This window comes from Homo sapiens, chromosome 21, assembly GCF_000001405.40.
Source record: "Homo sapiens chromosome 21, GRCh38.p14 Primary Assembly".
Lineage (NCBI taxonomy): Eukaryota > Metazoa > Chordata > Mammalia > Primates > Hominidae > Homo > Homo sapiens.
This window is the reverse complement of record NC_000021.9, coordinates 18,560,838-18,573,482: the sequence shown is the minus strand read 5'-3', so window position 1 is coordinate 18,573,482 and position 12,645 is coordinate 18,560,838. Positions and strand designations below refer to the sequence as shown.

The 12,645-nt window shown below is 37.0% G+C and overlaps 1 long non-coding RNA gene across 1 annotated transcript in view, besides 2 other annotated features; it reads left to right on the top strand.

The window, feature by feature from the left end:
* The window catches only part of MIR548XHG (MIR548X host gene), a 198,548-nt gene extending 186,330 nt beyond the window's left edge, over nt 1–12,218 (top strand). Inside the window, exon 4 of the long non-coding RNA NR_109925.1 lies at nt 11,792–12,218. This is a non-coding gene — a long non-coding RNA (MIR548X host gene). The remainder of the gene's footprint in view (nt 1–11,791) is intronic.
* Nucleotides 3,769–4,486: an enhancer, noted in NCBI's record as "OCT4-NANOG-H3K27ac hESC enhancer chr21:19941315-19942032 (GRCh37/hg19 assembly coordinates)". NCBI's record gives its function as "activates a minimal SCP1, AML or CMV promoter by ChIP-STARR-seq in naive H9 embryonic stem cells {active_cell/tissue: H9 hESC(naive)}" and the evidence as "EXISTENCE:reporter gene assay evidence [ECO:0000049][PMID:30033119]".
* Nucleotides 4,487–5,206: an enhancer, noted in NCBI's record as "OCT4-NANOG-H3K27ac hESC enhancer chr21:19940595-19941314 (GRCh37/hg19 assembly coordinates)". NCBI's record gives its function as "activates a minimal SCP1, AML or CMV promoter by ChIP-STARR-seq in naive H9 embryonic stem cells {active_cell/tissue: H9 hESC(naive)}" and the evidence as "EXISTENCE:reporter gene assay evidence [ECO:0000049][PMID:30033119]".
* Nucleotides 12,219–12,645: the final 427 nt, after the last annotated feature.

Genomic DNA, 12,645 nt, shown 5'->3' with positions numbered 1-12,645 from the left:
CATCACATAAACAGAAACAAAAACCATATGATTATCTCAATAAACACAACAAAGGCATTAGATAAAATCCAGCATCATTTTATGATAAAAACCCTCAACAAAATAGGAACAGAAGGAATTTACCTGAAAGTAATAAAATAAACCTCGAAGCCATGTATGACAAACCCACAGCCAACATCCTATTTAATTTTTTTCTTGCTGATTTGTTTGAGTCGCTTGTAGATTCTGGCTATTAGCCCTTTGTTGGATGCATAGTTTGCAAATATTTTCTCCCGATCTGTGGGTTATCTGTTTACTTTGTTGATTTTTTTCTCACTACTGAGTATCTACCCAAAGAAAAAGAATTCATTACATGAAAAATACACATGCACACACATGTTGATAGCAGCACAATTCACAATTGCAAAGACGTGGAATCAATCTAAGTGCCTATCAACCAATGAGTGGGTAAAAAAATGTGGTATATTCACCTTATGGAATACTACTCTGTCATAAAAAGGAATGAAATAGTGTCTTTTGCAGCAACTTGGATGAAGCAGGAAGCCATTATTCTAAGTAAAGTAACTCAGGAATGGAAAACCAAATACTGTATGTTCTGACTTATAAGTAGGAGCTAAGTTATGAGGATGCAAAAGCATAAGAACGATATAATGAATTTTGGGAACTCAGGACAGAAGAGTGAAAGGGGAGTAAGGAATAAAAGATGACATACTAGGTATAGTGTACACTACTCCAGTGACAGGTGCAGCAAAATCGCAGGTGCACCAAAATCTCAGTAATCAACACTAATGAACTTATCCATGTAACAAAAAACTACCTGTATCCCCAAAATTATGGAAATAAAAATTTAAAAAAAGGATGAGTAGCCCATTAGAACCTTAGTTTTTGGTAGTAATTACCTGAGTCCATAATACACTTGAGGTCTATTAAGGTATAATTTTTTCCATTAGTAACTTGAACATAATCTCTATTAGACAATGAACTGGATTTGAAACACCTAATTCTAACAATTCAAATTTATTGTCTATTGGAAATTGTTAACAAGAAAATGTAGAAGTGGAATTTATAATTAAAATGTAAAAATTAGACTAAGGGGTTAGATTTGTATGCTTATGACATATTCCTTTCTGCCTATATCCAGCACAATCAAGGTGATTTTCCTATTTCTGTCTCCCCTCCCCTTCCCCTTCCACCAACTTCCTCCTCCCCTTTCTCCTTCTCCTCCTCCTCCTTCCCATTCCCATCCTCCTTCTCTTCCTGCTTCTCTCTCTCTCTCTCTTTCTGTCATTCTCTCTCTCCTCTCTCTATCTCTGTACTTTGGCAACTATATTTGTATATTCTATTTGGAACCTATAATTTTCCTAATTTTCTAAACCTCCTCTAATCTCAAATAAAAACAGTCCAACTGAAGATCATGGTTCCCTAGTGACAGGTAAATATAGAATGAAACATGAGTTTTTGGATATTTTAACTTTCATTTGAAGACTTCTGTGTAGTTATACATATAGTTGTAAATTATCATCAAAATGCAGCTTTAATCATTTTAAATATGTTTGCATATTTTAGATGATTTAGTTACATACAGAGTAAACTTGTTTTAATACATATATTTTTCTAAAATTTTCAAATGTAATTTCAAAAAAAAGTAAGATTATTTTTCATCTCTGGTGATTAGTTATAATTTTATCTTTATAGGTCTAAATTCATGTTATATCTTTACCAGGAAATACATTAGTTGGTATTAATCTTCTCGTATTAGATAATAAGATGTGCTTTTGAAATTGCCATCAGCATAACAGTTAGTGGACTTTTTAAGAAAGTTACCTTAATTTTTTTTTATTGCCCAGTACAATTAATTAACTTCCAAACTGTATTTTTGTATGTAAAAGATGATACTTTCAAATATTTTCTCTTAAAAGTTTTAGTACATATATAATAAGAAAAAGAAACATTTATTCCTCCCAAATTACATAAATTTATATTGGAAATTTTACAACTTTTTAGTTTATTAGATTTATTGAATATTGTTTATGGAGAATGTCTTGCCTTATCCCAAATTCGCTTATAAATTTTTCAGTGGTCATAATGTATCATATACTTTCTCAATGTATCAAAATTTTCATATTCTTTTGAGGCCTACCTAGTTCAAATGACAGTGATGACTGAATTATTCATCTCTACTTATCCAAATGAACTGGAATCTGTGATATAGAAAAAAAAATTAAACATCATAATTGGAGGCTGAAAATGTTGGGTTCAAATCTTAGGTCTGCTATTATCCCTGTGATTGTGAAAATTTAATAATTTGAATTAAGATGATGTAAAGTGCCTGGCACCATAGATTTTTTTAAATGATTATATAGATTCCCTGAACTGATGTATAATTTTCGATATCTGTTTATTACATAAAAGACAATAGCTTACATTTAAAAACATGTCTTTTCAAGCCCATAGAATTGTTGTCCGCCAAAAAAGGAAGGAAGGAAGGATGGAAGGCCAGCCAGGAGGAAAATAAAGAAAGGCAAAAAGAGGGCTGGGTGTGGTGGCTCATGCCTGTAATCCCAGCACTTTGGGAGGCCGAGGCGGGCAGATCATGAGGTCAGGAGCTTGGGACCAGCCTGGCCAACACGGTGAAACCCCATCTCTACTAAAAATAATTAGCCAGGTGCGGTGGCACGTACCTGTAGTCCCAGCTACTCAGGAGGCTGAGGCAGGAGAATCACTTGAACCCAGTAGGAAGAGGTAGCAGTGAGCCTAGACTGCGCCATTGCACTCCAGCCTGGGCGACAGAGCAAGATTCCGTCTAAGAAAAAAAAAAACCTCAAAAAGAAGAAAAAAGAAATGATAGAAAGTAAGAAGGAAAAATTAGAGGTAAAAATGAATGGAGTTAGAGGAGTGAAAAAGTAGGCTATTTATGAAGCTATTCTCTCTCCACTCTAACTTCACCTTTGCTTTGTGATGCTAGGACTAGCATCTGAAAAACCACTTTCTACTCTGCCAGGATAAAGTGGTACTGAGAGACTGAGGCTGGGGGAGGAAGTGACTTCCTCCTTCCTGTTTTCTTCCTCTAGGCTTGCTTACATTCTCTCGCTCCCGCAGCTTCCACTATAGCAGTGTTTCTTCACCCTGGCAGCAGCAGTTCCTCCCTGCGGTTGCAACTAAATCCAGGTTGCAGTTTTTCCAACATTTACTATACCAGCCTTACCAGCCTCATCACCACTCACACCAGCACCCTCTTCTCCAAGGTTTGTGTTTCATTTTCTCGGGCCCCTCCTCCATGCTTCTAAATTTCAGTAATTCTAACATCTTCCTTTTGTTCTTCTAGCCATAGGGAACAATGGTAGATTATTTCAATTGTTGCCTCCATGATACCCTATAGTTTTAGTCTGGACTTTCTTATAAGCTAATTAACAAATTTGTACATGGTTAACAATTGTTTACATTAAATTCTATTGGTAAAGTAACTGATGTGATTTTGTTTTCTGAATTGACTCTGACTGATAGAGGGAAATAGACAACAAAAAAGATAATACTTATTTACAGCATAATATATGCCAAGCACTTTGCTAAGTATTTCAGATATATATTTTATTTTAAATCTCATATGTATTATGTAAAAAGAATACATCTGAGAATCATAGCAGCTGAATTATTTGCCCAAGTCATGCAGCCTGTAAGTGGAAAAGCACGACTTTTCATGGTCTTTTTAAAAAATAAAATGTCCAATTTAAAAAAATTAAATATTAACTTATTATAACATTATCTTGCAAAGAATTCATGTTCAGTAAAATGTCTTTAATAACAACATACTATAAAATGAGTGTTATTTATTGCCAGGTGTGGGGAAAAGCAAGAGAGATCAGATTGTTACTGTGTCTGTGTAGAAAGAAGTAGACATAGGAGACTCCATTTTGTTATGTACTAGGAGAAATTCTTCTGCCTTGAGATTCTGTTAATCTATGACCTTACCCCCAACCCCGTGCTCTCTGAAACATGTGCTGTGTCAACTCAGAGTTGAATGGATTAAGGGCGGTGCAAGATGTGCTTTGTTAAACAGATGCTTGAAGGCAGCATGCTCCTTAAGAGTCATCACCACTCCCTAATCTCAAGTGCCCAGGGACACAAACACTGCGGAAGGCCGCAGGGACCTCTGCCTAGGAAAGCCAGGTATTGTCCAAGGTTTCTCCCCATGTGATAGTCTGAAATATGGCCTCGTGGGAAGGGAAAGACCTGACCGTCCCCCAGCCCAACACCCGTAAAGGGTCTGTGCTGAGGAGGATTAGTATAAGAGGAAGGAATGCCTCTTGCAGTTGAGACAAGAGGAAGGCATCTGTCTCCTGCCTGTCCCTGGGCAATGCAATGTCTCGGTATAAAACCCAATTGTATGCTCCATCTACTGAGATAGGGAAAAACCGCCTTAGGGCTGGAGGTGGGACCTGCGGGCAGCAATACTGCTTTGTAAAGCATTGAGATGTTTATGTGTATGCATATCTAAAAGCACAGCACTTAATCCTTTACATTGTCTATGATGCAAAGACCTTTGTTCACGTGTTTGTCTGCTGACCCTCTCCCCACAATTGTCTTGTGACCCTGACACATCCCCCTCTTCGAGAAACACCCACAAATGATCAATAAATACTAAGGGAACTCAGAGGCTGGGGGGATCCTCCATATGCTGAACGCTGGTTCCCCGGGTCCCCTTATTTCTTTCTCTATATTTTGTCTCTGTGTCTTTTTCTTTCCTAAGTCTCTCGTTCCACCTTACGAGAAACACCCACAGTTGTGGAGGGGCAACCCACCCCTAAAATTAGAAGTAAATATGCCTCTTATCTCAGCTTTATTAAAATTCTTTTAAAAAGAGGGGGAGTTAAAGTATCTACAAAAAATCTAATCAAGCTATTTCAAATAATAGAACAATTTTGCCCATAGTTTCCAGAACAAGGAACTTTAGATCTAAAAGATTAAAAAAGAATTAGTAAGGAACTAAAACAAGCAGGTAGGAAAAGTAATATCATTCCACTTACAGTATGGAATGATTAGGCCATTATTAAAGCAGCTTTAGAACCATTTCAAACAGAAGAAGATAGCGTTTCAGTTTCTGATGCCCCTAGAAGCTGTTTAATAGATTGTAATGAAAAGACAAAGAAAAAATCCCAGAAAGAAACGGGAAGTTTACATTGCGAATATGTAGCAGAGCCAGTAATGGCTCAGTCAACGCAAAATGTTGACTATAATCAATTACAGGAGGTGATATATCCTGAAACGTTAAAATTAGAAGGAAAAGGTCCCGAATTAGTGAGGCCACCAGAGTCTAAACCACGAAGGCCAAGTCCTCTTCCAGCAAGTCAGGTGCCTGTAACATTACAACCTCAAACGCAGGTTAAAGAAAATAAGACCCAACCGCCAGTAGCTTATCAATACTAGCCGCCGGCTGAACTTCAGTATCGGCCACCCCCAGAAAGTCAGTATGGATATCCAAGAATGCCCCCAGCACCACAGGGCAGGGCGCCATACCCTCAGCCGCCCACTAGGAGACTTAATCCTACGGCACCACCTAGTAGACAAGGTAGTGAATTACATGAAATTATTGATAAATCAAGAAAGGAAGGAGATACTGAGGCATGGCAATTCCCAGTAATGTTAGAACCGATGCCACCTGGAGAAGGAGCCCAAGAGGGAGAGCCTCTCACAGTTGAGGCCAGATACAAGTCTTTTTCGATAAAAATGCTAAAAGATATGAAAGAAGGAGTAAAACAGTATGGACCCAACTCCCCTTATATGAGGACATTATTAGATTCCATTGCTCATGGACATAGACTCATTCCTTATGATTAGGAGATTCTGGCAAAATCGTCTCTCTCACCCTCTCAATTTTTACAATTTAAGACTTAGTAGATTGATGAGGTACAAGAACGGGTCCGAAGAAATAAGGCTGCCAATCCTCCAGTTAACATAGATGCAGATCAACTATTAAGAACAGGTCAAAATTAGAGTACTATTAGTCAACAAGCATTAATGCAAAATGAGGCCATTGAGCAAGTTAGAACTATCTGCCTTAGAGCCTAAGAAAAAATCCAAGACCTAGGAAGCGCCTGCCCCTCATTTAATACAGTAAGACAAGGTTCGAAAGAGCCCTACCCTGATTTTGTAGCAAGGCTCCAAGATGTTGCTCAAAAGTCAATTGCCGATGAAAAAGCCCGTAAGGTCATAGTGAAGTTGATGGCATATGAAAACGCCAATCCTGAGTGTCAATCAGCCATTAAGCCATTAAAAGGAAAAGTTCCTGCAGGATCAGATGTAATCTCAGAATATGTAAAAGCCTGTGATGGAATCGGAGGAGCTATGCATAAAGCTATGCTTATGGCTCAAGCAATAACAGGAGTTGTTTTAGGAGGACAAGTTAGAACATTTGGAAGAAAATGTTATAATTGTAGTCAAATTAGTCACTTAAAAAAGAATTGCCCAGTCTTAAATAAACAGAATATAACTATTCAAGCTACTACCACAACAAGTAGAGAACCACCTGACTTATGTCCAAGATGTAAAAAAAGAAAACATTAGGCTAGTCAATGTCATTCTAAATTTGATAAAAATAGGCAAGCATTGTCAGGAAACAAGCAAAGAGGCCAGCCTCAGGCCCCACAACAAACTAAGGCATTCCCAATTCAGCCATTTGTTCCTCAAGGTTTTCAAAGACAACAACCCCCACTGTCCCAAGTGTTTCAAGGAATAAGCCAGTTACCACAATACAACAATTGTCCCCCGCCACAAGCAGCAGTGTAGCAGTAGATTTATGTACTATACAAGCAGTCTCTCTGCTTCCAAAGGAGCCCCCACAAAAAATCCCCACAAAGGTATATGGCCCACTGCCTGAGAGGACTGTAGGACTAATCTTAGGAAGATCAAGTCTAAATCTAAAAGGAGTTCAAATTCATACTGGTGTAGTTGATTCAGACTATAAAGGCGAAATTCAGTTAGTTATTAGCTCTTCAATTCCTTGAAGTGCCAGTCCAAGAGACAAGATTGCTCAATTATTACTCCTGCCATATATTAAAGGTGGAAATAGTGAAATAAAAAGAATAGGAGGGCTTGGAAGCACTGATCCAACAAGAAAGGCTGCATATTAGGCAAGTCAAGTCTCAAAGAACAGACCTGTGTGTAAGGCCATTATTCAAGGAAAACAGTTTGAAAAGTTAGTAGACACTAAAGCAGATGTCTCTATCATTGCTTTAAATCAGTGGCCAAAAAATTGGCCTAAACAAAAGGCTGTTACAAGACTTGTCGGCATAGGCACAGCCTCAGAAGTGTATCAAAGTACTAAGATTTTACATTGCTTAAGGCCAGATAATCAAGAAAGTACTGTTCAGCCAATGATTACTTCAATTCCTCTTAATCTGTGAAGTCAAGATTTATTATAACAATGAGGTGGGGAAATCACCATGCCCACTCCATTATATAGCCCCACGAGTCAAAAAATCATGACCAAGATAAGATATATACCAGGAAAAGGACTAAAGAAAAATGAAGATGGCATTAAAGTTCCAGTTGAGGCTAAAATAAATCAAGAAAAAGAAGGAATAAGGTATCCTTTTTAGAGGCGGCCACTGTGGAGCCTCCTAAACACATACCATTAACTTAGAAAACAGAAAAACCGGTGTGGGTAAATCAGTGGCCGCTACCAAAACAAAAACTAGAGGCTTTACATTTATTAACAAATGAACAGTTAGAAAAAAGTCATATTGAGCCTTCATTCTCACCTTAGAATTCTCCTGTGTTTGTAATTCAGAAGAAATCAGGCAAATGGCATATGTTAACTGACTTAAAGGCCGTAAACGCCGTAATTCAACCCATAAGGCCTCTCCAACCCGAGTTGCCCTCTCCAGCCATGATCCCAAAAGATTGGCCTTTAATTATAATTGATCTAAAGGATTGCTTTTTTACCATCCCTCTGGCGGAGCAGGATTGTGAAAAATTTGCCTTTACTATACCAGCCATAAATAATAAAGAACCAGCCACCAAGTTTCAGTAGAAAGTGTTACCTCAAGGAATGCTTAATAGTCCAACTATTTGTCAGACTTTTGTAGGTCAAGCTCTTCAACCAGTTAAAGACAAGTTTTCAGACTGTTATATTATTCATTATATTGATGATATTTTATGTGCTACAGAAACGAAAGATAAATTAATTGACTGTTATACATTTCTGCAAGCAGAGGTTGCCAATGCAGGACTGGCAATAGCATCTGATAAGATCCAAACCTCTACTCCTTTTCATTATTTAAGGATGCAGATAGAAAATAGAAAAATTAAGCCACAAAAAATAGAAATAAGAAAAGACACATTAAAAACACTAAATAATTTTCAAAAATTGCTAGGAGATATTAATTAGATTCAGCCAACTCTAGGCATTCCTACTTATGCCATGTCAAATTTGTTCTCTATCTTAAGAAAAGACTCAGACTTAAATAGTAAAAGAATGTTAACCCCAAAGGCAACAAAAGAAATTAAATTAGTAGAAGAAAAAATTCTGTCAGCGCAAATAAATAGAATAGATCCCTTAGCCCCACTCCAACTTTTGATTTTTGCCACTGCACATTCTCCAACAGGCATCATTATTCAAAATACTGATCTTGTGAAGTAGTCCTTCCTTCCTCACAGTACAATTAAGACTTTTACATTGTACTTGGATCAAATAGCTACATTAATTGGTCAGACAAGATTACGAATAATAAAATTATGTGGAAATGACCCAGACAAAATACTTGTCCCTTTAACCAAAGAACAAGTTAGACAAGCCTTTATCAATTCTAGTGCATGGCAGATTAGTCTTGCTAATTTTGTAGGAATTATTGATAATCATTACCCAAAAACAAAGATCTTCCAGTTCTTAAAATTGACTACTTAGATTCTACCTAAAATTACCAGACGTGAACCTTTAGAAAATGCTCTAACAGTATTTACTGATAGTTCCAGCAATAGAAAAGCAGCTTACACAAGGCTGAAAGAACGAGTAATCAAAACTCCATATCAATCAGCTCAAAGAGCAGAGTTAGTTGCAGTCATTACAGTGTTACAAGATTTTGACCAACCTATCAATATTATATCAGATTCTGCATATGTAGTACAGGCTACAAAAGATGTTAAGACAGCTCTAATTAAATATAGCATGGATGATCAGTTAAACCAGCTATTCAATTTATTACAACAAACTGTAAAAAAAGGAAATTTCCCATTTTATGTTACTCATATTCGAGCACACACTAATTTACCAAGGCCTTTGACTAAAGCAAATGAACAAGCTGACTTACTAGTATCATCTGCATTCATAAAAGCACAAGAACTTCATGCTTTGACTCATGTAAATGCAGCAAGATTAAAAAACAAATTTGATGTCACATGGAAACAGGCAAAAGATATTGTACAACATTGCACCCAGTGTCAAGTCTTACACCTGCCCACTCAAGAGGCAGAAGTTAATCCCAGAGGTCTGCGTCCTAATGCATTATGGCAAATGGATGTCACGCATGTACCTTCATTTAGAAGATTATCATATGTTCATGTAACAGTTGATACTTATTCACATTTCATATAGGCAACTTGCCAAACAGGAGAAAGTACTTCCCATGTTAAAAAACATTTATTGTCTTGTTTTGCTGTAATAGAAGTTCCAGAAAAAATCAAAACTGACAATGAACCAAGATATTGTAGTAAAGCTTTCCAAAAATTCTTAAGTCAGTAGAAAATTTCACATACAACAAGAATTCCTTATAATTCCCAAGGACAAGCCATAGTTGAAAGAACTAATAGAACACTCAAAACTCAATTAGTTAAACAAAAAGAAGGGGGAGACAGTAAGGAGTGTACCACTCCTCAGATGCAACTTAATCTAGCACTCTATACTTTAAATTTTTTAAACATTTACAGAAATCAGGCTACTACTTCTGCAGAACAACATCTTACTGGTAAAAAGAACAGCCCACATGAAGGAAACCTAATTTAGTAGAAAGATAATAAAAATAAGACATAGGAAATAAGGAAGGTGATAACGTGGGGGAGAGGTTTTGCTTGTGTTTCACCAGGAGAAAATCAGCTTCCTGTTTGGATACCCACTAGACATTTGAAGTTCTACAATGAACCCGTCGGAGATGCAAAGAAAAGGGCCTCCACGGAGGTAGTAACACCAGTCACATGGATGGATAATCCTATAGAAGTATATGTTAATGATAGTGTATAGGTACCTGGCCCCATAGATAATCGCTGCCCTGCCAAACCTGAGGAAGAAAGGATGATGATAAATATTTCCATTAGGTATCGTTATCTTCCTATTTGCCTAGGGAGAGCACCAAGATGTTTAATGCCTGCAGTCCAAAATTGGTTGGTAGAAGTACCTACTGTCAGTCCCATCAGTAGATTCACTTATCACATGGTAAGCAGGATGTCACTCAGGCCACAGGTAAATTATTTACAAGACTTTTCTTATCAAAGATCATTAAAATTTAGACCTAAAGAGAAACCTTGCCCCAAGGAAATTCCCAAAGAATCAAAAAATACAGAAGTTTTAGTTTAGGAAGAATGTGTGGCCAATAGTGCAGTGATATTACAAAACAATGAATTCGGAACTATTATAGATTGGGCACCTCGAGGTCAATTCTACCACAATTGCTCAGGACAAACTCAGTCGTGTCCAAGTGCACAAGTGAGTCCAGCTGTTGATAGCGACTTAACAGAAAGTTTAGACAAACATAAGCATAAAAAATTGCAGTCTTTCTACCCTTAGGAATGGGAAGAAAAAGGAATCTCTACCCCAAGACCAAAAATAATAAGTCCTGTTTCTGGTCCTGAACATCCAGAATTATGGAGGATTACTGTGGCCTCACACCACATTAGAATTTGGTCTGGAAATCAAACTTTAGAAACAAGAGATCATAAGCCATTTTATACTATCGACCTAAATTCCAGTCTAACGGTTCCTTTACAAAGTTGCGTAAAGCCCCCTTATATGCTAGTTGTAAGAAATATAGTTATTAAACCAGACTCCCAGACTATAACCTGTGAAAATTGTAGATTGCTTACTTGCATTGATTCAACTTTTAATTGGCAACACCGTATTCTGCTGGTGAGAGCAAGAGAAGGCGTGTGGATCCCTGTGTCCATGGACCGACCGTAGGAGGCCTCGCCATCCGTCCATATTTTGACTGAAGTATTAAAAGGTGTTTTAAATAGATCCAAAAGATTCATTTTTACTTTAATTGCAGTGATTATAGGATTAATTGCAGTCACAGCTACGGCTGCTGTAGCAAGAGTTGCATTGCACTCTTCTGTTCAGTCAGTGAACTTTGTTAATGATTGGCAAAAAAATTCTACAAGATTGTGGAATTCACAATCTAGTATTGATCAAAAATTGGTAAATCAAATTAATGATCTTAAACTGTCATTTAGATGGAAGACAGACTCATGAGCTTAGAACATCGTTTCCAGTTACAGTGTGACTAGAATACGTCAGATTTTTGTATTACAACCCAAATTTATAATGAGTCTAAGCATCACTAGGACATGGTTAGACGCCATCTACAAGGAAAAGAAGATACTCTCACTTTAGACATTTCCAAGTTAAAAGAACAAATTTTCGAAGCATCAAAAGCCCATTTAAATTTGGTGCCAGGAACTCAGGCAACTGCAGAAGTTGCTGATGGCCTCGCAAATCTTAACCCTGTCACTTGAGTTAAGACCATTGGAAGTACTACGATTATAAATCTCATATTAATCCTTGTGTGCCTGTTTTGTCTGTTGTTAGTCTGCAGGTGTACCCAACAGCTCCGAAGAGACAGCGACCATCAAGAACAGGCCAAGATGACGATGGCAGTTTTGTCGAAAAGAGAAGGGGGAAATGTGGGGAAAAGCAAGAGAGATCAGATTGTTACTGTGTCTGTGTAGAAAGAAGTAGACATAGGAGACTCCATTTTCTTATGTACTAGGAGAAATTCTTCTGCCTTGAGATTCTGTTAATCTATGACCTTACCTCCAACCCCGTGCTCTCTGAAACATGTGCTGTGTCAACTCAGAGTTGAATGGATTAAGGGCAGTGCAAGATGTGCTTTGTTAAACAGATGCTTGAAGGCAGCATGCTCCTTAAGAGTCATCACCAGGACTTTCTTATAAGCTAATTAACAAATTTGTACATGGTTAACAATTGTTTACATTAAATTCTATTGGTAAAGTAACTGATGTGATTTTGTTTTCTGAATTGACTCTGACTGATAGAGGGAAATAGACAACAAAAAAGATAATACTTATTTACAGCATAATATATGCCAAGCACTTTGCTAAGTATTTCAGATATATATTTTATTTTAAATCTCATATGTATTATGTAAAAAGAATACATCTGAGAATCATAGCAGCTGAATTATTTGCCCAAGTCATGCAGCCTGTAAGTGGAAAAGCACGACTTTTCATGGTCTTTTTAAAAAATAAAATGTCCAATTTAAAAAAATTAAATATTAACTTATTATAACATTATCTTGCAAAGAATTCATGTTCAGTAAAATGTCTTTAATAACAACATACTATAAAATGAGTGTTATTTATTGCCAGGAATTTATTTTCAATACTTTATATATAGATTTGTTTAATCCTTAGACTTTAATG